This window comes from Homo sapiens, chromosome 17 (assembly GCF_000001405.40).
Source record: "Homo sapiens chromosome 17, GRCh38.p14 Primary Assembly".
Taxonomy (NCBI): Eukaryota; Metazoa; Chordata; class Mammalia; order Primates; family Hominidae; genus Homo; species Homo sapiens.
Genome location: NC_000017.11, coordinates 8522645 through 8550607, shown reverse-complemented (window position 1 = coordinate 8550607; position 27963 = coordinate 8522645). Strand labels below are relative to the sequence as shown.

General features: G+C 42.8%; 1 protein-coding gene across 4 annotated transcripts in view, besides 2 other annotated features; it reads left to right on the top strand.

The window, feature by feature from the left end:
- The window catches only part of MYH10 (myosin heavy chain 10), a 156514-nt gene that overhangs the window by 80118 nt on the left and 48433 nt on the right, over positions 1–27963 (top strand). For 3 of the 4 annotated variants that reach the window (NM_001375266.1, NM_005964.5, NM_001256095.2), the window contains 7 exons: positions 1821–1964; positions 2200–2295; positions 3946–4064; positions 5008–5160; positions 8328–8501; positions 14677–14850; positions 15107–15221. In NM_001375266.1, coding sequence (NP_001362195.1) covers positions 1821–1964; positions 2200–2295; positions 3946–4064; positions 5008–5160; positions 8328–8501; positions 14677–14850; positions 15107–15221 — 975 coding nt within the window. Of the gene's footprint in view, positions 1–1820; positions 1965–2199; positions 2296–3945; positions 4065–5007; positions 5161–8327; positions 8502–14676; positions 14851–15106; positions 15222–19922; positions 19986–27963 lie in introns of all 4 variants that reach the window. The other variant, NM_001256012.3, reaches the window with a different exon arrangement.
- Positions 7103–7397: an enhancer, noted in NCBI's record as "tiled region #2377; HepG2 Activating DNase matched - State 5:Enh". NCBI's record gives its function as "activates a minimal TATA promoter and a strong SV40 promoter by Sharpr-MPRA in HepG2 cells {active_cell/tissue: HepG2}" and the evidence as "EXISTENCE:reporter gene assay evidence [ECO:0000049][PMID:27701403]".
- Positions 18203–18497: a silencer, noted in NCBI's record as "tiled region #10362; K562 Repressive DNase unmatched - State 5:Enh". NCBI's record gives its function as "represses a minimal TATA promoter and a strong SV40 promoter by Sharpr-MPRA in K562 cells {active_cell/tissue: K562}" and the evidence as "EXISTENCE:reporter gene assay evidence [ECO:0000049][PMID:27701403]".

Genomic DNA, 27963 nt, shown 5'->3' with positions numbered 1-27963 from the left:
GGGCTCCTCACTTCCCAGTAGGGGCGGCCAGGCAGAGGCGCCCCTCACCTCCCGGGCAGGGCGGCTGGCCGGGCGGGGGGCTGTCCCCCCCACCTCCCTCCCGGACGGGGTGGCTGCCGGGCGGAGAGGCTCCTCACTTCTCAGACGGGGCGGCTGCCGGGCGGAGGGGCTCCTCACTTCTCAGACGGGGCGGCCGGGCAGAGATGCTCCTCACCTCCCAGACGGGGTCGGGGCCGGGCAGAGGTGCTCCTCACATCCCAGACGGGGCGGCGGGGCAGAGGCGCTCCCCACATCTCAGAAGATGGGCGGCCGGGCAGAGACGCTCCTCACTTCCTAGATGTGATGGCGGCCGGGAAGAGGTGTTCCTCACTTCCTAGGTGGGATGGCAGCCGGGTGGAGACGCTCCTCACTTTCCAGACTGGGCAGCCAGGCAGAGGGGCTCCTCACATCCCAGATGATGGGCGGCCAGGCAGAGACGCTCCTCACTTCCCAGACGGGGTGGCGGCCGGGCAGAGGCTGCAATCTCGGCACTTTGGGAGGCCAAGGCAGGCGGCTGGGAGGTGGAGGTTGTAGCGAGCCGAGATCACGCCACTGCACTCCAGCCTGGGCACCATTGAGCACTGAGTGAACGAGACTCCGTCTGCAATCCCGGCACCTCGGGAGGCCGAGGCTGGCGGATCACTTGCGGTTAGGGGCTGGAGACCGGCCTGGCCAACACAGCGAAACCCCGTCTCCACCAAAACCAGTCAGGCGTGGCGGCGCGAGCTTTCAATCGCAGGCACTGGGCAGGCTGAGTCAGGAGAATCAGGCAGGGAGGCTGCAGCGAGCCGAGATGGCAGCAGCACAGTCCAGCCTCGGCTCAGCATGAGAGGGAGACCGTGGAAAGAGAGGGAGAGGGAGAGGGAGAGCGAGTAAATTCTTTAAAATGATCAAAGTGTTGAAAGAAATAGAAAAAGAAAGCAGCAGGCAGTACCCTGTAGAAGTTAAATGTGATGTAGACAAGAATAACGGGACAGGGTGACCTGCAGAAATTCTCTGCAGGAGAGCAAGAGAGCCAGTCACAAAGAAAGCTGGGAGCATATTTGCATATCTGTTATAACGATAAATAGCCCTGCTATTTTGAGCACTCCTGAGAAATATTCTTTGGCTCTCAAGAATGCATTTGTCAAAAGAGTAAGTTCTCTTTAATTCATGTCTCCTACGGTACAGTAGTCAGTGCGGGTACCTGTTACAATAGTCTGCTGCGCCACATCACATCATCATTCTAAAGGCAACTTAACCACCAAGCAAGCTGGCTTGGAGAAAGTGTTTCAGGGCCTTTGCTGGGCTCGGGACGTGCTTGGTCCACATCACTGTATCTTTAGCTTATGTCCATGGTAGTTTTCATATTCACTTCATAGTGTTTGCTGCAAACTACTTGCTAAGATAGGAATATAGAATATGAGTTTAAAAGCTTTCCTTCAAAAAAGAGGGCTAAAATATTTAAATCTGAAAACAATAGAGTTTTGTCATCTGGACAATTGACATCATTTCGCAGATAACCAATTTCAAACAGAATATTGTACAAACTGCCATCCCCAAAACTCCTGTTAAGGTTTTTGCGTTGTTAACATCATCATTTTCCTTTGTTGGTACAGATAATTAAAAAAATGTATGTTTGTGTATTTACATGAATATATAAAGAAAAAAAACATTTTGCTGGCAATGGGTTGCATGGTGACCACTGCTCTCCTGTGACACTGGCACAGTTTGAATGCAGTTATGGCTTAGTTGTCTTCATGAGTATTTATCAAATTTTCTTCCATTATATTTCCTTTTAGCTGATTTGCTTCTTGAAGGATTTAATAACTACAGGTTTCTCTCCAATGGCTATATTCCTATTCCGGGACAGCAAGACAAAGATAATTTCCAGGAGACCATGGAAGCAATGCACATAATGGGCTTCTCCCATGAAGAGATTCTGTGTATGTGTGATTTCTCTAAGATTCTGGTACTCACTTTCCTAAGACTTATACATCTGGGGTAAATCACCTAAACTAGAAAATGACTGGGAAACTAATGAATTGTATGAAATCCTGAAAAGACATGTCTTACTGAAAAGTTTTGTATAGCTAATTTTTAGCACAAAATAAATGAGAATATGTCTCCGCTACATTTTGAGGCAATATTAATTTTTTTTTTCTTTTTATCAATATGAAGCAATGCTTAAAGTAGTATCTTCAGTGCTACAGTTTGGAAATATTTCTTTCAAAAAGGAGAGAAATACTGATCAAGCTTCCATGCCAGAAAATACAGGTAAACTGATGAATACTGACTTTATTTCTGTTTCGATGGCTTGTTGTGCTCTCTAAGAAGGTGTTACAGTGCAAGCGTAAAAGCACCTCTGAAGCATTTCTGAAGGGACCCTTGAGTAGAGTGACAACATCGTGTATTTACACGAGGGTTCCTCTGATTCTATAAATGAGGACAGGGGACAGGGTGTAGGATGAAAAGGAGCAGTGGTCTCTGCCTTAGCATGCAGGAGGCCTTGGGAATTGAGGGAGGAGAACTCAGCCGCAGGAGGTCACACACTTACCTGAGAGGGTGGTGCAGCTGCCGAGTTCCAGCCAGTGTGCACCTTGCCAGGATTACAGGCCCAGTATTGCCAAATATAAGTGACTTTTCAAAGAAAAATGGAAATCTAGATCTTAATAGGAAATATTCCCATTTTTAAATGTCGAAAATGGTTTTAAATTTGCATTGGTCAGGAACAAAAGTTTGTGACCCAAATATATATATATAATATATTATTAAATATATATTTAATATAAATATATAAATATAATATGGATATAAAGTATATATTTATTAAATATATGTATATATAATATACATATATATTATATATATATCAGTTTGCTTCAGATGGTCTGGAGAGAAAAAGTGAGGAATCTCTATATTGCCTTGACTGCTTGATTATTCTAACAAGTTAGTTATCTTGCCTCATGGAGGCATCCGCAGTCCACTGTGGCGGGTGAAGGCTGACATAAAGTCACATTATCTGCCCTTGAAATAATCGTTTTTTATAACCAATTTGAGGCTTGATAACAATTTAATTCTGTGTGGCTCTTCTAAGGGGCCTGCCTCTCCTGCTGCTTCTTGGTCACCATTTTCTGGCCAAGCTGTGGCACCTCCTATTAGGGCTGTTGATTTCCAGGACCATTCATCTGTCATTCAGTCAAAGTAGTTTGATTGGCGGTTGGGCCTCCATCCTCCGTATGGCTTTTCCATGGTTAAATAGACTTAAAATGGAGCCATCTAAAATGCAGAGTAAGGCATATATTAGTATAGCTTGGCTTTGAAATTTTTTAATGACCCATAAATAGAGGAGGATCAGGTCACTCTTGTAAAGGTAAGGAGGCTGGGCATAGTGGCCATGTAGTCCCAGCTACTCGGGAGGCTGAAGCAGGAGGATGGCTTGAGCCCAGGAGTTCTAGGCTGTCGTGCTATGCCCGTCGGTTGTCTACACTATGTTCAGCATCAGTATATGGTAGCCTCCCAGCAGTAGGGGACCACTAGGTTGCCTAGGGAGGAGTGAACCAGCCCAAGTTGAAAATGGAGCAGGTCAAAACTCCCGTGCTGATCAGTAGTGAGATCATGCCTGTGAATAGCCACTACACTCCATCCTGGCCAACATAGTGAGAACCTGCCTCTAAAAAAATGAATAAATAGGCAAGGCAGTCAAATGCTGACTAGCCATCTCTTGTAGCCTAAAAATGAGTGTGTATTAATTTGAAAAGATGGAAGGTATTTTTCATTAGACCTAAAACTTGTCTGATTTTAAGACTTTTATTTATTTCTTAATACAATTTAATTGTTACTAAGGTTTTTCCAGTGTTTATTGAATATATTGTGAGTAGATTGTAAGTAAAAAATGTAGGATTTAGGAGACTTTTTACACTTCAGTTGCGCAGAAGCTCTGCCATCTTCTTGGGATGAATGTGATGGAGTTTACTCGGGCCATCCTGACTCCCCGGATCAAGGTCGGCCGAGACTATGTGCAAAAAGCCCAGACCAAAGAACAGGTAGGTTTCATGTTCATTGTTATTACTGATTTGTTTGAATGATAAGCCATGGCCATTTGGCCTTCTGATTGACATGTAACAAACTGAATCAATATAAACTGTCTTACATGGGTGTTTTTAGGTACTAAATGAGTTTTTTTTTTTTAAGTATATTTACTTTTTCGTTTTCGAAAAAATTTAAAAGGGGCCGGGGCCGGTGGCTCACACCTGTAATCCCAGCACTTTGGGAGGCTGAGGTGGGCAGATCACCTGAGGTCAGGAGTTTGAGACCAGCCTGACCAGTATGGTGAAACCCCATCTCTACTAAAAATACAAAAATTAGCCGGGCGTGATGGCATGCGCCTGTAGTCCCAGCTACTCAAGAGGCTGAGACGGGAGAATTGCTTGAACCCAGGAGGCGGAGGTTGTAGTGAGCTGAGATTGCACCACGGCACTCCAGCCCAGGCAACAGAACGAGACTCCGTATCAAAAAAAAAAAAAATTTTTTTAAAGGTGATTTTTTAAAAAAAGTAAATGTCAAATTATAATCTCTAGTTTTCCCCAGGTAGATAGATAATCCAGTAGACAAATCTGCATACTTCGGGAACCAGACCAACACAAGGGCCCCTGCCGCCTTGTCCTTGTGCTGGGTGGTACAGCAGAGAGAAAGTACCAGCTTAACTGAGCTGAATCCAGGCGGACAGTGCTACCCAGGACCCAGGCGCATGGGGAGGAGCTTATTTTTATTAGGCGTCTTTACCCATCCCCCAAATTCGTTATTCCCTGTGTTCATTTAATTCTTCTAATATTGCCTTCTATTGATGTGTAAAATTGAGACATGATTAAGCAGTGAATGCCATCTCAGGTTTTTTGAGTGCTGTATAACATTAAATTCCGTAAAACAGCTATTTATGCTTTGTTGAGATTGTTTCCAGAATAAAAGGTTGTTGTGATTTAATTACAGGCAGATTTTGCAGTAGAAGCATTGGCAAAAGCTACCTATGAGCGGCTCTTTCGCTGGCTCGTTCATCGCATCAATAAAGCTCTGGATAGGACCAAACGTCAGGGAGCATCTTTCATTGGAATCCTGGATATTGCTGGATTTGAAATTTTTGAGGTATTCTTCCCCCTCTTCCTCTAGCTCGTCCTTCTTTTTGTTTGTTCTTTTAACAAATATGAAGGCTTACTGTGTGCCCAGTACATACGAGGCACCAGGGATACAGTCCCTGCCATTCTAGTAGAGCCAAACAATAAATGGCAAATAATCAGTGAATCCGCAGGTCTGTGAGAATGCACTGAAAGGGTGCTGTGATAGAACTGGGAGGCCAGCTTGAGATAGCTGTTCAGGGAAGGTTGCTTCTGCATTGGCAACAGTTAGGCTTACTTGAAGGATGAGAAGCTGCCAGCCTCGGTCAGTTTCCCGGCATAATGAGAGTAATTCCAGTGGTCCTGTATGGGACAGAACTTAACAAATGTTCTAAGCTGCTAGAAAGCCAGTATGACTGGATATAGCTGACCAGAGGGAGAGAGGAGTTGGAGACGTGGAGAAGAGCATGGGGCCAGGTCGAGAGACCATCAAGGGGGCCACTGTAGTAGAACACGGGCAAGATGACGGGGGCTTGGCTGGGGAATCAGGAGAGGAGCAAAGTGAGAGGGAGGCACCTGGACGGGCAGTGATCTGTGTACTGCAGATATAACCAGGGTTTAACAATAGATTTCACTGTTGATCTGACTAGATTTATCCAAATACTTACTCATCATCAATGCAGAAAAGTTTCACAGTCACACACCTGCTACGGTGTTTCAGGGAGGTGCATAAAATTTGGGGCATCTAAAAATTTATATCTTTATTTCCATAAATATAGATGTAAACTATGTAAATATAGTACGGCACAAATATTAAGTGCTTTTTGTGATCATCTGTGTGTTACTGTAGCCACTATTGGGTATTGAATTGTCTTATTTTAAAATGAACCCCTTTAAAATTATAAGTCTATCCTCATAAATACTGAACCTGCCACTGCCACTCTAAGAGATTGCTTTAAGGTGTTTTGATTTGTAAATATATTAAGAAATCATGAAAAGTGGCTGGGTACAAATTGCATTAAAAAAATCTGTCACTTTCCTCTACATAAACGATCAGAAGATATAGTGAAAGAAAAGACCCACATTTCCAACTGCAACAAACAGACAAAACACCTAAAAATAAATTTTAAAAGAAATGGGCAAGATTTAAATGAAGGCAACTTTACAGTGCTGCTGCAAAAAAGAAAAGAAGACTTGAACAAGTGAGGAGACACACCCTGTTCTCGATGGGAAAATGTGACATTTATGTAGATGGTAAAAATGCTAAGTTGTTCAGTGAGTGTTATTTGTCATGAGAAAAGGAAAGAAAAAGCCTAAATGCCCACCTTTAGGAAACTGGTTCAAATTATTGTGATAGCTCCATACAGTGGAATACTATGCATCCATTATAAAGAATGGGCTGGCTTTATACACTAAGGAAAGATCCCACAACATAACAAGATACATTGTTAAGTTAAAAAAAATCAGGGTCACACACATACACACATTTCTTAATGCATAGCATATTTCTGGAAAGATCACAAAAATAGGAGATACTGGTTGATAATAGGGAGAACAAGTAAGTTTCATTGAAGTGAAACTGGTGCAATTCTTTGTACACTTTGAATTTTCTACCATGCATTATTGATTTAAAAATCAATTAAAATTATAATTGGTAGTTTAAATATGGAAGACAAGTAGAAATTCATTTTTAAAAATACCATTCTTGGCCGGGCGTGGTGGCTCACGCCTGTAATCCCAGCACTTTGGGAGGCCGAGGCAGGTGGATCACGAGGTCAGGAGTTCAAGACCAGCCTGTCCAAGATGGTGAAACCCTGTCTCTACTAAAAATACAAAAATTAGCTGGGCTTGGTGGCAGATGCCTGTAATCTCAGCTACTCCGAAGGCTGAGGCAGAGAATTGCTTGAACCCGGGAGGCGGAGGTTGCAGTGAGCCAAGATTGTGCCACTGTACTCCAGCCTGGGCAAGAGAACGAGACTCCTAAAAAAAAAAAAAAAACCTTCTTTGTAATGGCCCAGGCTAAATAGAGCAATAGGATGTCATCATCCTGAGGCAAAGCAAAGTTCACCTACATGAACATGAATAAGCAGAATCCGGCAGTCTGTAAATATGAGGCTTGTCATGCGTGCCAGAAATACAGTGTTGAGCAAGGCAAGCACTGCCCCTGCCCTCCTTGCATGACCTCATTCTGAAATAGTGAATTTAACAGCTTCTGGAGAATGGAAAAGATTGGAGTGGCTTTTTCAGACTGTAAATCAACTCCTTGGAGATGGGTTAAATCCTCTTTAATTGAAAATCACTTTTTATAATGAAAGAGGTTATTTATGGGCACATGCAGCTGTGTGAACAGTATAGAAGCAGGAAAGAGGTTGAGCACTTCTAGTGTATAGGATGATTAAGAAAATTATACCTATTAATTCACCCATCTATGCATTCGCCCAATCAATTTTTCTCTTAAAAAATGGGCAGAGTTCACAGAGAAGGAACAGAAATGACAATAACATATGAAAAATGCCTAAATTCACTTTATGAGGGCAGTCCAATATCACTTTTGGTATTGCAAAGGTCAAACATTTGATAAGGGAAGGGAATGCTTAGAGAAACGATAGAGAGTCTCATACTAAGCGCATTCCATGTGCCAGGCCTGGCTGAGCTCTCAGCAATTCCATGCAGTAAAGATGACTCTTTTCCTACCTCACCTTAGAGCCCACAGCCTGAGTGACAGTGGAGTGGGACAGAACCAAATGCATTCTCCACCCCAGCTTCAGAAGCGCGCCCACCACCTTGTTCGCCTTCCTTTGCCTCTGGTTTTTCCAAGCCTTTGTTTTTCTTCTTTTTCTTACTGTCTCATTTATTTATTTATAGTCCTTAACCATTCACTAATAAGAACTGAATTGTTTTACTTGCAGAGCATTCAGTTAGCATATTAAGTTTATTATCTTTTCATTTTAGCAGTTCAGTAATGCAGCCATAGACAGTATGTTCTTTCTCTTTACCTTTTCAAAAAGGCTGTGTGTGAGAGAGGGATTGGGAGACCACCCCCCTTGGTTTAGTCACTGTCATTAGATAGAAGCAATCATGTACTTCCTACCTAATTAGTAATGTTTAATGAAAAATTTTTTTATAACTACATAACTAATTATTCCCATTTTCCCTCCACCTCCCCATGTTTGGAAAATTACCCTTTGACATTTGTAGCTGAACTCCTTTGAACAACTTTGCATCAACTACACCAATGAGAAGCTGCAGCAGCTGTTCAACCACACCATGTTTATCCTAGAACAAGAGGAATACCAGCGCGAAGGCATCGAGTGGAACTTCATCGATTTCGGGCTGGATCTGCAGCCATGCATCGACCTAATAGAGAGACCTGTAAGAGTGCTCACTTGCTCGCTGTCTTTCATTTTCCACTCAAGCAGTGACCTTAAGTGGCATAACCCAAGACAGAAATTACCCAGTCTGTTCAGTGGTGAAATAATTTTCTGATCTAAATTTTCTAGGAAGGTGATACTCTGATAAAATAGCTACAGAATTTAAAAGTCAGTAGCATGCCAGTAAAACCCTTCTTTAGCTCTCCTCGCAGCTTGATTCCTGTCCTTGCTTGCATGGGAATACTGGATAGTGGGCTCTGGCTCGCACAGACTGCAGATGGCCCTGTGCGCTGGCATTTGTGTGTACCTTTCAAAGGATGTGGAGCTCCACCTGACACTTTATTTAGCTGAGAACAAGACGTGTCACGTAAATCCATTTTGCAGATAACTAAAGTTTGGCCTTTTAAAGTACAAAGATGTTTTTATTTTGCCAGATTTTTTTTTTTAATTTGAAGTTTTTGTTCTCAGGGAAGTCTTGTCAGATGTATTTTTAGTGGCAATCTTAGAAAGCATCAGAAACTCTTTTCTTGGTGGTTTAATGTTCTGTAAAAATACATAGAACTCATTCACGTTCAAGCTTCGAGTGTATAACTCATTCACTTTTGGAACTCAGCTCCATGTGATCTCAAGCAAGTGTTGACAATCTGGTTCTGTACTCCTTATCAGTTAGCTTTTGCTCAACAAGGTGTCAGCTTCATTTATTTTATTTTGCTATCTGCCAAAATATAAGAAAAACTAAAACATGATTAACCACCGATATCTGTAACGTAGAGGAAGCTCTAACACTAGTTAAGTAGGTATGTTTGAATAACGCAGAGTTTTCTCCTAGGAGGTGCAGCAGGCTTTGAAGCAGTTCTGGTTCTTGCTGCTCAATCTCTGGTTGCCACTTGTGTTCTTCATGTTTGAAGGTGTTGGAGGTCTAATGGCTAGAGATCATGGATGGTACAGTACCTGCAGTCAGGAGGAGCAGTGGCACATCGGGAAGAGGAAGAACCTAGAAGACATTCACCCCTATTAGAGATGTAGTTCCAGCACATTAGAAATTTGAGTTTAAGGAAAGCAATAGAAAATTTTCATTTGGCTTTTATAATACATAAGAAATCATTTTACCTTTCAAGTCACGTTTAGAGCAAAAATCTTAAATTACTTATAGTTGTGAGGATAGTTGCTTCTTTGTAGCTTATAGGGTCATTTAGAGGTGGCATGCTTGTAGTGACTTCCAGGTAACTTGTGCATACACAAGCACATGAACACACTTCATTACATTTCATCACTGCTTTGTTGCCTAAAGAATTGTTTGGGCATTTATGTAAATAAGGGAAGGGAGTATTTCACATTAGTACTATTGATGACTATATGATATGTTTTTTGAGATGCTCATTATATGCGTCCATATGACACTGGAAGTCCTACATTTTAAGAATATAATGATTATGTACCTGCAGTTTTATTTTAGGATGGACGAGAACCCATAAAATTTGCTAGGTCAGTATCTTTATAGGAATAATTGTGCCGAAAGTCTTCCAAATGGAAAATTACCTGTCTTAATTTTTTAAATGTTTTTAGAGTGTTTTTAAATCTAATGGTTTTGTGACCTTTAAATGAGTCTCACAAATATTAATTCTTCTTAATGTTACTTAATTGCATTTCTTTTGCTTTATCCTCTAGGACAAAATACTTTATATACCATTTTTGCATATTTTTTTTTTACTCTCACACAATAATTGTACTCTAAAGGTGAAAATCATGGGGTAAAGTAATTAAACATTTCAACCCTAATAACCAACTCCAAGCAAAAATAGGTGAGGTAGAAGGCCAGGTGCTGTGGCTCCCGCCTATAATCCCAGTACTTTGGGAGGCTGAGGCAGGCAGATCACTTGAGTCAGGTCAGGAGGTCGAGACCAATCTGGCCAACATGGTGAAACCCCATCTCTACTAAAAATACAGAAAATTAGCCGGATGTGGTGGCATGTGCCTGTAGTCTCGGCTACTCAGGAGGCTGAGACATGAGAATCACTTAAACCCAGGAGGCAGAGGTTGCAGTGAGCCGAGATTGCACCACTGCACTCCAGTCTAGGCGACAGCGTGAGACCCTGTTTCCAAACAAAAAAATAAATAAGTGAAGTAGAAAGGGTTTGATGTTTACATTTTTAATTATTTTCCAGGCCTTATGTGTAAATATTGTGGTGGTAGAATAAGATCCAGATAGCAATTTATTGGACCAGGTGTGGTGGCTTATGCCTGTAATCCCAGTGCTTTGGAAAGCTGAGGCAAGAGGATCACTTAAGACCAGGAGTTCGAGACCAGCCTGGGCAACATAGTAAGACTACATCTCTACAAGAAAGTTTTAAAATTAGCCAGGTATGGTGTCATGTGCCTGTAGTACCAGCTACTCAGGAGGCTGAGGCGGGAGGATCCTTTGAGGCCCTGAGTTGGAGGCTACAGTGATACGGTCACACCACTGCCTTCCAGCCTGAGTGACAGAGTGAGACCCCATCTCAAAAAAAAAGAAAAGAATTTATTAAATCCTCAATTATGGCCTGGAAATGCAGATTGGGGGTGCCATGGGGATATGAGATAGTATATAGCATGGCCTTGGTCCTCAAGAACCTGATCTTGAAGCCAGAAAACAGAACACAACATAGTGGTGAGCTCATTGGTTCCTGGGTATGACTCTAACTGATGCTCTGTGAATTCGGAAAAAGGCAAAGGCCACAAAGTAGGCTGGCAGTGTTGTGGAAGGTATTACAGGCGTGGATGCTGTGCAGGGAGCATTCCAGGGATGAGTTTTATGGTCAGAAATCAGCAGGTGAACAGCACGTTGAAAGTGGTATTTTAGGGAAGTTATTTGGCGAGTGTCCTAGTCTGTTTTCCGTTACTATAACAGAATAAGTAAGATGGAGTAATTTATAAAGAAAAGAAATTGATTTCTTGTAGTCTATAGGCTGGGAAGTCCCAGGTCTAGGAGCTGCATTGGATGAGGGTATTCTTGCTGGTGGGGACTCTTGGCAGAGTCCTAAGGTGGCACAGGGCATCACATGTTGGGGGGGCTCATAAGAAATGGCCAAACTGGCTTTTTTATGACAGACCCGCTCTCATGATAACTAACCCACCTCCTCAACAACCCATTGATCCATGAATGAATTAATCCATTTACTAGGAAAGAGCCCCATGACCCAGTTACCTCCCAAAGGTCTTATCTCTCAACACGGCTGCATTAGGAACCAGGTTTCCAACATGTGAACTTTCAGGGAACACATTGAAACCACAGCAGCCAGGGCATTCAGAAAGTATTGGAGCTGGGAAGTCATGATGTTCCTAGTCACCAGTTATGCCCAGACACTGACGGGCAATGAGTAGAACTAGGTAACTCGTTCCTTCTTTCCTTCCTATCCTCTTTGTACTGGCACTTCTAGGCTCTTCCTTCAGCCTTTAGAGTGGACCCTTTATTCCCTGCCTAAATAGTCCTAATTTATAGGAGAGATAGCTCAGAAAGGGGAGGGAAGGAATTCAAGATTTAATGCTGACTCACTCTTTACCTCAATTTGAGGATTATTCTACTTATTCATAGAAATATCTGATTAAAAAATAAAAACATGGCCAGGCACAGTGGCTCACGCCTGTAATCCCAACACTTTGGGAGGCCAAGGCGGGCAGATCACTTGAGGTCAGGAGTTCGAGACCAGCCTGACCAACATGGTGAAACTCCATCTCTACTAAAAATACAAAAAGAAATTAGCCAGGCGTCGTGGCGGTTGTCTGTAATCCCAGCTACTCGGGAGGCTGAAGCAGGAGGATCGCTTGAAGCCGGGAGGTGGAGGTTGCAGCGAGCCAAGATCGCGTGACCACACTCCAGCCTGGGGGACAAGAGCGAGACTCCGTCTCAAAAAATAATAATAATAAAAAATAAAAACATAACATTTTGTAAACCCCATGAGAGTTTATGATGATGGGGAATTTAACGACAGCCTGTGGAATGACATGGGATAATGATCCCATTGATGTTCCTTGCAAAATGGAGAGTGAAAACAATACTTTCTAGAAGGAAAATGCTGTAAAAACATCCTCTGTGGTGGCACCTGACAGGCCCGTGCCAGGCTTAGCTCATCTCGCATAATCCCAGCCCCTGCCTTGCCAGACTGTGGGCTGGTGGCAGGCAAGCCTCTGAGTTCACAAGCTTTCACAAAACCTATGACCAATATTCAGAAACACAGGCTTCTAAGCTTACAGCTCTTGGAAATACCCGGTTCAGAGAAGGAATGATAATAGAGATCTTGACATTGAAGGATGAAGTGGAAAAAATGAAAAGGAGACACAGTAATGATATTCATGATCATGCTGTCACCAAGTCATTTAGAAAAAAATACAAATTTTTATTTGAGATACTGTGTCAGAATTTAGGAAAATTCTCATTAAAAGTGGTTAAGAATGTAAAAGGGTAAAAGGAGGATGTTTTTGTTATATTAATATTAATGTGGAACTTCCTTTCTCACAGTTGTTGTGTGATTAGGGTGGATTGAGTTACCTGCCACTCTGAGCTCCTCTAAAGTGACCTAATCCCAGTTGCTTCAGATTACTGTCTTCTTTTTAGCTGATCTGAAACCCTGACAATTCTTTCAGGTGGAGGAGCCCTGGGGTAAGGGTCTCCATTGCAGAAGGGTTCCCTCAGCTTCCACCCGCTGGCATTCAGATCACCCATCCCTTTCTCTGACCACTTTATTACACTGTTTCATTTATATTTAACCATAGCCTCTAGCTACTTTTAAAAACAGCATTTGTGTGTATTGCCAACTCTTTGCCAGTAAATATGAAAGCTTTGTGAGTTGATGAGAACTGATCTTAGAGTCTTACTCAAACAGCTGATTTCATGAGTGTGCCCTAGAACTGGTACGAGTTCAGTTTTGTATCACACACTTGCCATATTTGCAGTGTGACAATAAATGATGGCCCAGAAGCACTAGAAAATAGACCATCACTATTTAAATATCTTATTTAGCTTTCATGTGTCATTTACCTCCAAAAAGGAAGTCACTCCAGACAATGGTGAGCTCTAGGCCTTTTTAAAAATTGAGACATAATTCACAAACCATGAAATCCACCCTTTTAAAACTACAAGTCAGTGATGTTTGTAGTATATTCACAAAGTTGTGGAACCATTACCACTACCAAATCCTGCCACGTTTTCATCACCCCAGAAAGAAACCTCATACCCATTAGTGGTCACTCCACATTCTGTTCCTTCAATCCCCGGCTGCCACTAATCTACCCTCTGTCTCTATGGATTCATCTAGCGCTTTTTTTTTTTTTTTGAGACAGAGTCTTGCTCTGTTACCCAGGCTGGAGTGCAATGGCACCATCTCGGCTCACTGCAACCTCTGCCTCCCAGGTTCAACCGATTCTCCTGCCTCAGCCTCCTGAGTAGCTGGGACTACAGGCATGTGCCACCACACCCAGCTAATTTTTGTATTTTTAGTAGAGGCGGGGTTTCACCATCTTGGCCAGGCTGGTCTCAAACCCCTGACCTCGTGATCCACCTGCCTCGGCCTCCCAAAGTGCTACTTTTTTTCAATGAAGTAATAATTGCATCACATAAAATGGGTTGTCAAATGCCTGTTAAAACAAATATATAAGGCAATTGATGACTGACTTAGTTTATCAATTTCCATATATTCTACTTAATAATAGTTTAAAATATTTCGCCAAATATAAAGTGATACATTTAATTTAAAATTACTTAAACAGAAACTTAAACTGATTAGGATATAAAATGTTTGAAGCATTCTCATTAGTTGAGGTGTTATAATGATTTCTCCAGCCAGTCACTGAACATGAACATTCAGTTTCATCTCTCCACTTCCCACTGCGTTTCTGGCTTCTTTTATTTGCCACTTTTGTGGGGCCATCTGCTTGGAATTCATTTACTTGCAATTTACATACAGTATTTGTAAGTTTGAGATAAGTTACTCCTCTGTTTTCTTGTTAGTACTTATTTAGCAGTTTGAGATGTCAGTGTTTGAATTATAAACTTGTTATGGCTTAGACATTCCTTTCCATCCTAGCAATTTGTTTTCCATGGATCTTCATAAAACTAATTGTTTTAGAAGTTTAAGTGCCAGACTCAGTAGTATTAAAGTGGCATGCAAAACTTGTGAATTCTTATTGCCTGTCATTATCAGGCGAACCCTCCTGGTGTACTGGCCCTTTTGGATGAAGAATGCTGGTTCCCTAAAGCCACAGATAAAACCTTTGTTGAAAAACTGGTTCAAGAGCAAGGTTCCCACTCCAAGTTTCAGAAACCTCGACAATTAAAAGACAAAGCTGATTTTTGCATTATACATTATGCAGGGAAGGTAAGAGCTCTTATGTTGAATAACTGGATTAAAATGGCTGTGTTTGAAATTTTGCTACATTTTTATGAAGGTGTAACAAAGGTGCTGATAAACATTTATAAACAAATACAGTATATATTACAAACATATTGTCTTTCAGACAGCCCATTTTGGGGACTGTTGTATAAAAGTTTCTGGTTGAGGCTTAAAGTGTTTTTGTTTTTGCATTTGGTTTTGTGTTCTCCATTTCACCACTTTTGGCTTTGGTGCGGGATAGGTGGACTATAAGGCAGATGAGTGGCTGATGAAGAATATGGACCCCCTGAATGACAACGTGGCCACCCTTTTGCACCAGTCATCAGACAGATTTGTGGCAGAGCTTTGGAAAGATGGTAAGAAAGTGCTTATCTTTGTAATCATGCTTGGCTGGAATCTTTTATAATTAAGGTTTATAGATGGTTCTTTTACATATATATGGATACATATAACTTCTTACTTTAAAATCTTTCTTTCCCTAGAGCAGGGCTGCCGTTATATCGGAATTTATCCGTTTTAACAATACTTGGGTTAAGAAATGAATACAGAGACAGCTACCTTCTTGGTCAGATGTTGTAGGAGTACAGAAACATTCTAGGCCCGGAGCCACAAAGACGTACACGTATGACTTAGGCCACCACAGTCCCAAGTCAGTTGTAATCCAGGAACACTGGAACACAAAACCCGAGAAGGCCTGCTCATTCCATTTTCCCTGTGTCAGGCCTGCTGAGCTCCGTCCTTCCTCACCACCCGCACCCGCCGCGACACCCAGTGGCTGGTGGATAAACTCAAATTGCCTGCATACAGATCAATTGCTCTTCTTTCCATCAGTCCTCATAGTTCTTTTGTTATATGAACCTCAGTTGAAGAATTTTGGTGATTTTTATTGTAGACTAGAAGATTTTACTAGTATCAGAAAATCAAAATGTCTCTGTGTCTCTATGCATTTTAGGAACCAGTATCTTCTCCTAGAGCTCAGCTCACCTGCTACATTTCATCCTGGCTCTGTTCCACCTCTTTGCCTGGCTTCAGGCCATGCAGGACCTTAGCCCTGGATCTAACCCTGCCTAGACCTTGACCCTGAGGCCAGACCTGTTCAGTAACCTGGGTCACATCTGCTTTCTCTGTAGCATCTTAAGCCTTGTAATCTAGCTGTCTTAGAGGTAGAGGGAAAGGAATGGAAGCAGAGAAGGGCAAATGGAAGCAGGCAGGCTGAGGGCAATTGGGGCCAAAGGAAAGAGACAGGAATTGAAGAATGGACACAGAGAAAGTGACTAGGGGGAATGTGACCCTATAAAAGATCATCTTAAGAATGACTGTGTCCATCAGATCAAGTCAGTGTGAGGGAGCTGCAGGGGGGGATGCACTGAACACAGGCACGCATGCGTCCTGGGAGCAGACTGTGGGCCTGAGACATAGCAAAGAGGGGAGGGACCTGGGGGAAAGACGAGCTTTCCAACAAGTAAAACAGAAGCCTTTAATCTTTGTACCTTTAGGTGAAAGTCTTCAACTGACTACTGAGTGCAGTGTCACTTCCAGTGACCTAGTCAGTCGAGGGATGCTGTGTGAGGACTGGGAAGAGAAGCAGGGAGCTGCAATAGAACTTACAGTATCCTCAGAGTTGAGCTCCTCTTCACCTTGTCAACAGGCAGTGTTAAGAGTGGGATATGAGAAACTGAGACGAGAACAGAAAAAGACCTCTGAGCTCAGGTTGTTGTTACGGGGTCTACAGTGCTAGAAAGGCCAGCGCTGGTGAGTTGGAAATGTGGATGGGAAATATGTGAGGAAGAAGAGGGAGGAGTAATGTTGCAGTCGTAAGGATTTGCATTCCTTCAGGAATCACTTCAGCTGTGACAGTGTTGGAGACTGTGTAGGTTACAAAGTCTCCCCATGTTCAGCTTCTCCTCTGGATACCCTTGTAAGGTCTTAGAACACAGCAGAAGGAATGAGATCAGTATGCAAAGTGGATCTGTGATAAATGCCATGGGAATGGTACAGTGAATTTTTAGGGGTGTGCAACAGAGGAAGGGACTACCTTTTTCTGGGGCGCTAAGGGAAAAATGTCATGATGAGAGGATGCAAATTTTCCTTGTCCTTAAAAGAGAATAATGATTTGTTGATTAAACAATGAAAGCTAACATCTCCTGAGCACCTACTAAGTGCCACACAGTGTTTTCAGCACTAATTTATGAGCATTTATGGCCCGGTTATGCCTTAAACGGGTAAGAAGGTTTGCATGAACTGACTCTAGGAGTGAGTGTCTGGGGTGGCATTTGTAGAAATGAAGTTGGCAGGAGAAGAAGTACAGAATGATCACAGTGGAGAGGTGGAAAATCATAGCTCAGGAGGAGTGTTCCATTTGGCTTTAGAGAGGGCTGGGGCAGAGAAGAGTGAGCAGGAAATGAGGCTGGGATGGTAGGTTGAGGCTAGACTGGAGAGTCCTCATGTCCCATCTCTAGTGGAATTTGGACTTGAGACTGTGCTGAATAAATAGCATCAGTAGGTTTGTGACCTTGGGTAGTGACCCATTCTGAATTCGAAGAAGTGAAACAGGCAGTGTGTTTTGGGTAGATTGGAGTGAAAGAGCCTGGAAGTGAGGAGTTGAATATGGGGCGACTGAAGATGACAGTGGGCGTGGAGATGATGCCTGGGAAACAGGAACAGAGGAAATGGGGTTTTTCCTGGTTTTTGAAAACAAGCCTCAAAAACTGGTTTTCTCTTCATTTTGAAGGAAAACAGGTATTGGGACTACTGACATTATAAGCATGGAAATTAAGTCCTTTATTACATATTTATTCTGACACTATGAACCCTTTTTTAGTCCTTGTCTTATATCCCTTAACCAAAAATGGTGTTGGAAACACCTGTTCAGCACTTGACCCATTTGTATAATTCTACATACCTAAGTATGTGCTTCCCATGGCAATAATCTGTGAGCTAGATCTGGAAGCAATGAGAGACATGTCCCCTGCCTCCCAAGAGCTAGTGATCCAGTTGAGAAACCAGGATATACACAGATGCATTACTAGAACTGAGCTAATCTTTTTCTTGGCTCCCAGCTTCCTACTTCCTCCTTCCTTTCTTCTTTAATTTAAGGTCTCACCAGCCCCAGATACTGGAGAGGGCTTTGGCAACAATAGGTCAGAAGCTGTAGGTATATAAGATTTGGTGGGCAAGGATGGAGGTGGGAGGCTGGGATGTCATACAAATTACAGATCACAGATGCTATGTCTTACAGGTAGGACCCTGTCTGGAGACTCCTTACCTGCACTTTTGTGTCTTCCATTTAAGAGATACGGGAAAGTTATTGATTTCATTACAGAAATGCTTAGAGGAAACTGTAAGCCTTGCTGAGCTCCTTCAGCCCTGGTGTGAGCCCCATTCATCTGTACTTAGTCCACAGCTCTGACTCACAGATGCCATGTTTGCACAGCCCTATTTATGGCCCTTGTCTTTCCAGAGATATGCCGTTGGGAGTGCATTTGGCCATTCTTGTCAAAATAAGCCAAGGGATATCTTATCTACCCCAGGTTTGCTTTGGCTCTGCTAGCCTCTGCTCTGGAATACTCCTACATGTTTGCTCTCCTGATAATGCTGCTCTTAGCAGGAGGTGCTGTCGCTCTTCAGCTTAGGTGGACAGTTAGTTTCATCTGAGTGACGGAGAAGATCTCAGAGGCCACTCACTGTTGGGAGGCACTGTTCTTCAGGGTGAGGAGCAGGCAGAGAAGCAGTACCATGTTTGTCCAATTTTGAGGACAGTTTGTTTCATACAGAAAGCAGTGGCAGGCACAGAAGGTTAAAGAGGGTTCTAAGGTGGAGGATTTATCACTGCTCACTCTGGATAGAGAGATCGCAGGATAAGGGGAGCAATTTTTCTCTAGAAAAATAACCCTGGAAAAACATTATTTTCCTCTTTTTAGAGCCACTTAAATGCAAAAGCAGAAAACGACAAGTTGAACATGAATAGATGAATATATGATATATGAATATAGTTTGCCTGTGAAGGTGCAACACCTACAGTATGAAACATTTTGTGTTAAAATAGAGTTTATGGCTGGGCACGGTGGCTCACGCCTGTAATCCCAGCAGTTTGGGAGGCTGAGGCAGAAGGATCGCTTGACCCCAGGAGTTTAAGACCAGCCTGGGCAACACAGCGAGACCCTGTCTCAACTGAAAAAAAAAAAAAGAAAAAGAAAAAAAGTAGAGTTTGTGTTAGAGTTTTAGAGTTTTCTCAAGGCCAAACCAGGAGAAATAAGATTTATTGGTGGCAGCCCTGCCCTAGAGATTTATAATGCCCTACTTTTTGCTAAAAGATGTTGTTTGGGATCTCTTTACCAGCTGCAAAGGACTTCTTGGCACTTCTTAAAGCTTATATTGAGGAAAAAAAAAAATCCTAAAGATTGCATTTTCATGTCAATGTACCTCCTAGGATATTTTCATGAGTAACAGTATGATCAATAAGTATAATCTCGCTTATAATTCAAAATTATTTTAACATTTTGCTACAACAGAACTTGAATTTTGTTTTCCTTAATGGTAGTTATCTGTCATATGGTAATTTGTATTCAAATTATTTTTCGGAAATTATATTTCCGAAAATCTGTATTAGAAGTAAAATTAATTACACAGCAGCGTAATTTTTGACAGTAAAAGCCATTGATACTTACATTCGCCATAGTGCTGTGACTTCACTGCAGTCATGCCCTAAGCTACTAACGATAAGATATTTTTACGATAGACAACTCAAATAGTGCCTTATTCCTCATAAATGTCATCTTGCATTTACATGGGCTAATCATTTGACATTGATATCATATAATGCTCACACCGGGAGTTGGGAATGTGCTCTTTTGATTTAGCATTAATCTATTTTATAAAGAACTTTATCCAAATGTGCAAATTCTCTAAACAGTCATGTTTGCATGGGATCTGCCTTGGACTAGCTCCTTTTGTAGCCCGATTTCAAAGTTGACTTGTGCTGTCAAATGTCTTTCACACTAACTGAAGTGTTTGTGTATTTGCTCTTCTGTCCTGTTTTTGCTGTTTCTCTGCTTTAGAGATTCAGAATATTCAGAGAGCTTCTTTCTATGACAGTGTTTCTGGTCTTCATGAGCCACCAGGTGAATGTATAAAGCCTGTAGGTCTTCCAAAACAGAAGGGTTTTAAGCCCACAGGAAAAACGTGTGGGGGGACTGGCAGGGTGGCCGGGGAGGGCGGGGGTAGACTGGGGGCTGGGGTGGGCTTTGGGTTTCTGTTTTTGTTTTGCTCATAGGCCTGCATGAACCTTTCATTTCATGCTCAGTTTTATTATACTTCAAGGCAAATGTTTGAGTGCATAAGCAATTTAATTGCTACTGCCTACACATTGCTTCTTATTTTATGCATAGCACTTATAGCACCGCATATTAAAAGGTATGCCACTACCTTTTCCAATAGTGCCATTGTGATACACAGTCCTCTAAGGAAATTGTTAAGAACTGATCTGCTAAATGACATCTCCTTTGCTTTTGAGTCACCTTTAAATTTTCAACTCTGAGGAATTCCAAGGAGGATTTTTTTCTTGTATTTAAGACACATTTTGTAGACAAATAATTACATAGCTACCTCAGGTGTGTTGGTCTCATCATTATACCTTTTGTTTGGAATTTGTGTGCCTATCTGGCTACTTGGCCTTTTCTTTTCAACCAGAGGCCCTGAAACTATCTACAAGGCCTGATATGTGCAAGTTGAGACTAAAATAGAGTGGAATGTTGTCAGAATTATACATTGAACCTTAAATTGAGCTCCAAATGTTTGGGCTTTGTGATCTGAATCCTCAGCCCTGTATTACAATACAGCCTAACTACAGCTACAGAGTCTCCAAAAGCCCAATATAAAATGAAGCCCACCCAGCCTTCCGAATGTTTAGTGAAACTGGCAAGTAGCGAAACTCAAAGATAAATTTATCTTATGAAATTTCCTTTATGATTTTTGGAACATGATAATGCTGAGATCCAAATCCATCTCAAAAGTTATATTTAAAATGTTAAAGGGCCATGCCTATTTTAATCCAACTCAAAATTCCTGCCATCACCTCTAGTTCACATACTATGAAAGAAGTAGACTGCAAGTATGGAGTGGGAGGAGAGAAAAGATTATGCTAGAGACAGCATAAGCAGGAATGAAAATTCTACGGAACTCCAAAGGAAGAGATCTCTAAATTCAGTCCTCTTTGGCGTTGGGGAATGCTGACAGTGTTGAAATGGACGGGGGAAGCTTGGAGGTAGTTTTCAGCTATAACCTGGGACTTGTGCTTTATTAAAGGTTAGTGCTTGATCTTTTGGACTTTCTCCTAAAGTGAGTGCCCTCTTTAGATGAATTCCCTTTGGATTTCTAACCTCATAAGAGAATTTCAGGCTGTGAGCTCTTTGAGGGCAGGGTCAGTGCCTGGCTTTGCTCACTGTCATTTCTGCAGCACCTGGCACAGAGGAGGCAAAACATCACTAAGTCGCTGAGAGAGAGCTGATGGATGGATAGGGGGTGGCGACCCCACACCCATTTTCAGCCCCAGCAGCTTCGCCTTCCATTCCCACTGTGACCACCTAAAGCACGGACACTCTTTCCTGTGGGAGCATGATCTTTGGGGTGTATACACCAGGCATTTTGCTGTACCAGCAGCATCCAGCCCAGAGCCTCTCTTAGATGACTTCATGCTAGTGAATGAGCAGCGGGGTGGCTCATTCCCCTCACTGTACCCTCACCTTGGCACTGAAAATGTTCCCGGTTCTGTCTCTCTCTGTGAGGTGTCCTTTGGTTGAGTTACTTAGCTGAACCAAGTACCAAGGATCTCAATCTCTGCTTCTCCTTGGAAGCCCATCCATCTACCAAGGCCAAATATGTTCTTTGAGATTGTGTGTAATAGTTTACAGCAAAATCGTTTTCTCTTTAATGCGCTTATGGATTCAAGACCACCACCCCAGAGAGGGCTAAGGGATTTTAAAACGAAAATGTAGGACTTTAATATTTCCAGTGATTTCTTGGAAGACAATGGATGAAGGAGTTTCTAGGGATCCAAATTGTGATTGCCTGTGACGTGCTGACATATGGTAAGCACCTCTCTAAAGCAGGTGACACAAAGCTGATAGGACCCATGTGCTTAAGTACATGTGTAATGATGGGAAGATATCATTATGAAGAGCATGCAGGCTTCTGGGACTGGAATAAAGAGAGATTTGCAGAAAAATCACAGGACAAGTACAGAAGAGAAAGGAACAGGGGAGAATAGGATTCCTAGAGGCAAATATGGAGGTCATATAAGTTTCTGCTATAAAGTCAAGGACTGTTTTCTTCCAAGTATATTTTGAAAGTCTGGACCTCAGAGATAAACCAGTAGTGGAAGATGCAAGCAGAGTGAACCAGCAAAAAGGGGTTGTAACCTGAAAGCTACAGGCAGGGCTTTTGGACTAAAGGGGTGATGGGTAATAGGGTAATTGAGACTATCAAAGGCTTTAGACCTGATCCAAAGCATGTTGGAGGTACAATTATGTATCGTTTTCACTAATGCTAGTTTATACCTGCACCTGCAATTTCCTTCATAGAACAGCACCAGTTAGGCTCTTTGAACCTCCATGTGTGCTAGATTGCAGCTGACAGGTCCGGAAGAGTGTACTAGCAGAGCAAAAATTGGGGAAAACCTGAGAAGTCCAGGTAGAGTCAAGTATCATGACTGATAAGATGGTACCCATTTAATCTCCATATAGATTACATCCATTGATCATAACCTCCATCTCAAGTCCCATTTTAGAATCTGTGGTTTAGGTCTGACATAGTTTACGTGTTTAAATTGTTCTCGCTTTCAATGGATGAAGGTTTTTGTTGTTGCATTATATTCTCCTCCTCCCTGTTTTTTGATCTTGAGTGTTAGCAATAGTTGGAAACTCACCGAGGAGAAGCAGCGCTTGGGTACTGCAGTTTGAGTTCCTGAGGACAAGTGCGGACAGCAACATTTAGTTCTCAGGGTTACTGTGAGTATCAACTGAGGCAACGTGAACCTGAATGCGTGGCACATGGGGAGTGCCTGAATGTGTGGTGTTGTAGAGTTGCCATTGCCGTGGCTGCATCTGCAGCAGCTGCTGCTGTAATTACAGAACAACAGAGAAACCCGATAAATGTTTATTTCCTTGGCTTTCCTTAACATAAGTCTAGTATCGCTCATAGTGTCCCAAGGTACAGCTGATAGGCCGTGGTGCCAGGCTGCCCAGTCTCAGCATGAGTTGGGGACATGGGACCCCACAACGGGAGAAAGCGAGCGCAGAGCACAGTGGAAGCTGTAGGCAAAGAGGGGCTTCCTGTCTGCCCAGCGCCTTAGATGGCCTGGCCGAAAGGGATAGGAAGGTAGATGGAAATAAGGGAGACATTCAAGTTTGGCTTGAGACTAGTGCTTGGGATAAAGAAGATTGCTTTCTCCTTAAATCATGTGCTTCCTGTCAACCTCTTAACTTCCTGGGGTTTTTCTAAAAATTTCCCAATGCTAGAGTAATTAGCAGATCGGTTCTAGCAACTAGTTATGTAACCACTGTAAACTTGTTATTACAGTACCACGTAACAGGGATATTATGGAGACAGACTGATGTGAAGATCGTTTCTGCGAATTCATAATAGTTAAATATATTTGTTTCCAAATTGTTTATAACAGTGACATTTTCATCTATATGAGGGTGGAATTGTCTTACCTTATTTAAATGAGTATTGAGAACCTGCTCCATGCCTCACACAGTGCTGGGCACTGGATACCTTTCATGAGGAGCGCGTGATGCTGCTCTCAGTCATCAGCATCTGGCTGTTGAAATTAACATTAAATAGGTTTCTTCCCCCTTTTTTGGTTTCCAGCTATATTAAGTAGAATGAATTTCTGAAGATCTAGCTTAAATACTTGAAAGTAAATTTAGTAACACTAGTATTTTGGCCCATGCACAGATTTGAAAAACATAAAAATCTTATGGCCCCGTCTCCTAGATTATCCCCTAGAAGGGCCAGTTAAGGATTCGGTACCAAGCGATGCCATTCCTTCTATGAAACTGTTGGTGGCAGTTTCATGATGAGATAGACGACACGTTGCATTTTCTCTCTTAAAGCTATGCGAATATGTCCTCACAGATTTCAGTCTGGAACTCATCTAATTTCTGACTGTTTAAATACATTGTTATAGATTAGTAAATTAGGTGTTAGAAGAAAATACTTTTCAGGCTTCTAGAACCAAGTAATGAATTTAAATGCCCCCCAGCAATCCTAACCAGGGTCTCCTGACATCTCAGATAGAAGAATTTACAGTGCAAGAATAAACAAAGCTAATCTTTACCCTGAAACTGTGGCTGGAGGAAGGGCACTTGAGATTTAGAAGCAATATTAGGTCTTCCAGTGAGGCGCGCCGCCCATTTCAAGGAGCTGCTGGAGTCTTCTCTTCGCATTTTCTGCCTTTCTCTGGTTTCTGCTTTGATCAACAAGAAAATACTCTTAAAATAGAGTTTTTTCGGGTCTTGATTATTGAGTGAAATCATACATTATTAGTGTGGCTCAAATCATTTAATGAATTTCCCAAAGTGTTTCTCTTTTACCCACAAGATGATTTTGTTGGTGGAATCTAACCCTGAGTTTAAAATGTTGAATTAAAAACGGCTGGGCGCGGTGGCTCACGCCTGTAATCCCAGCACTTTGAGAGGCCAAGGCGGGCAGATCATAAGGTCAGGAGTTCGAGACCAGCCTGGCCAATATGGTGAAACCCCATCTCTGCTAAAAATACAAAAATTAGCCAGGCATGGTGGCAGGCACCTATAGTCCCAGCTACTCAAAAGGATGAGGCAGGAGAATTGCTTGAACCCAGGAGGCGGAGGTTGCTCTGAGCCGAGATTGTGCCACTGCACTCCAGCCTGGGTGACAGAGCAAGACTCCATCTCAAAAAAACAAAAAACAAGAACTGAAAGTCTAAAGCATTATTTTTTTTAATCTGAATATTTAGCTTTGGATTGTCCGTATTAAAATTAAATTTGAAAATCAGGATTATTATGACTATTTATTAGTTACTATATTTTTAAAAAACCACACACACAACACTGACAGCAGATTGTGTTTAAGAACTGCCCGTGTAGGCTAAAGTACTGCACAACCAGTGTAATTGATCCTTCCAGAGTAACATGGTGCTCTTCCTCTTTTGTTGTAGTGGTGATTTGTTCTTCTGGTAAACTTCGTGCAAGTTCACTTAGCAGATATTTATTAAATAGCTACTGTGTGCCCAGCACCAGGCACCGGCCAACATCTGGGGCTGGGAGATTGTCTCCGCTGATGGTTGGGGGGCCAGAGACACCATAGGCACAGCTTTCGGGGCCCTGAGTATGTAAGATGCTGGAAAAATGTTCCCTGGGGAAGCTCAGTCCAGTGAGAAGAAGCACAGAAACAGTGTGGAAGTTCTGTCCCAGGGATTTGAAGCCTAGAGAAGGGAGTGGTGTATTTAGCTTTGGAGGCAGGGTGAAAACCGAGCATAAGAAGGGTTCCCTGAGGTAGCTGGTAAAGGAATGGAGATTTAAAAGTATTTAAGCATTTGCCAAGATGACTGGAGCGGGCTGGGCATTCCAGGCAGAGAGAAAAGGATGGAATGTGAAGTCATTGTGTCTTTGGGAAAATGCAACTAGTTTGTACAGTTGGCCTTTAGGGGCATGTGTGAAAGGGACAAGAGAGGTGCCTTCGTTGAACACTTGAATGTTTTTCAGGCTCACAACTCTGAAGCGTGGTCTCCTTAGCTCCATTTCAAGAGGAGGAAATTGAGGCTTAGAGAAATTGGGTCACTTGCCCCAGAATCACCCAGCTCATGAGTGTGGTGTGTCTGACTCTGAGTGAAGGCCATTGCTATGCTGTACTACTGAGCTGAGTTATTTGGACACTATCCGACAGGCTGTGGGAGAAACTCAAGGATGTTAATACTTAGTTTTGTCTTTTAGAAGTGGCTGCTACATTACACAGGGACAAAAGGTGTAAATGAAGGAAACATGTAGCACTACGGGTAGAGGATGAAATGGGGGAGAAGTGCAGGATCCAGGTCAGAAGCAGGAGCCCAGCAAGGGCAGGGGAGAGGAGGGTGGATCGATGACATCTTAACTTTTGGCTTGACCACTTTTGGTCAGTGGTTCCATTGGATAGGAAACCCAGGAGGAAGAACAGGACAGAGGGTGGATCTGTGCTTGGGTTTAAGACTTGGGCCTTTGTCCCCTCTCCATATCCTTTTTTTTTTTTTTTTTTTTTTTTTTTTTTTTTTTTTTTTTTTGAGACAGAGTCTCGCTCTGTTGCCCAGGCTGGAGTGCAGTGGCATGATCTCAGCTTACTGCGACCTCCGCTTCCTGAGTTCAGGCAATTCTCCTGCCTCAGCCTTCCGAGTAGCTGGAACTACAGGTGTGCACCACCACGCCCAGCTAATTTTTGTATTTGTTGTACTTTTAGTAGAGACAGGTTTTCACCATGTTGGCCAGGCTGGTCTCAAACTCCTGACCTCAAGTGATCCTCCTGCCTCGGCCTCCTAAAATACTGGGATTACAGGCATGAGCCACTATGCCTGGCCTTCATTGCTCTTTAACTCCTCCTCCTCTGCTGAGCTCCTTGGGGATGGTCTTAGGCCCTCCATCTCTTTCTGGTCTCCCCTAGATAAAAGTTGACAACTCCCAAATTTACCTTTCTAGTTCCAACCTCTCTTCCTAGCAGCAGACTGGAATTTTCCTCTTGTCACTTGACATTTCTCTTCCACTTCGAAGTCCCCCAGGCATCCCAGACTTACTTAGAGTTTGGGTCTTGTCTTCCCATCCACAAAACCCACTTCCCTCCTTGTCTTCCCTACCGCCACTCGGTTGCTCAAGCCAGAACCCTGGCAGTTATTCTTGAAATGCTCCTCTGCCTCACTTTGCATATCAAGTTCATCCAAGAGCAAGCCAGTCCTCCCACTAAAATACCTGTTGAATCTTCCTTCTCGATCTGTCTTTGTAATCTCACTAGCTCCAGCTGCCCTCATCGCCTAGACCCTGGACTCCTGGAAGGGTCACCTGTCTGGCCTCCCCACTTCCACTTCTCCCTCCCCCTTCCCCAGGCCATTCTGCAGGCAGCAGCCAGTGCGAGTGTCATAAGCTCCTCCTCACACTGGTGCCTCCTCCTCCGTGCTGGCCTTCCTTCGCTTCTTCCTGCCCCTGGTCTTTCACATATGCTGATTGCACCGACTGGAGTGGTCATCTTCCCACAGGCCCATTGTTAATTTTGGGGTATTATATGGCATTTCCCCAGAGAGATCTCTAACCACTCATTTCTCCTATGGCATCCTGTTATTTTCTTTGAATGCATTTCTCACTCTTTTTAATTACAAAGATATTTAATGTTTACATAATTTATCCACTGACATGTATATATGAAGTATGTTGGTGCCAGACATCATGCAGGGAGCAGGGATGCAACACTGAGTCAAAGCAGACATGCTAGGATTGAACAAACATTTGTAGAAGGCAGAGGCACCTTTGTGACATCTGAGTGGAGAGTAGAACACAGGTGTTTGGCAGCTGGCTCTGGGTGGTCAGGTATATCTAGTTAGAGTCATAGCTGAGATCACCTGGGTTGGGAATATGGCTTGAGAAAAGCAGAGGGCCAGTGTCAGCATTTGTATTGTGCCTTATTCTAGAAGGGTTGCAGATGAATTGATTTGGGATCCCAGGCGAGTGCCATGAGGTACAGGAAAAGCAGAAGAGAAATCATCAAGAAACATGGGACTGAAGTAGTGAGGGGGAAGTAGGGTACAGGAGAAGGTGGAGCTCCTAAAAAAGCCAGGAGTGGAGAGTTTTTACAATGGTGCTGTGACATCACCAGGTAAACGTACCAGGGTCAAGAAAAACAAGCACTGGGTGGTGTCTATTCATTTAGCAATTGACCAGTCATTGCCTGAGTAGTGTTGGGCAGGAGAGGAAGAGGACGGGCCATAAGCCAGTTGGCTACACACTGGGAAGTTAGTGGGAGAGGATATGGTGTAGCAACGGTGTGAACTACTCAAGAAAGAAGCGTGGCTCTGACAAGAGAAGTGGGCAGATACAGGGTCAAGGG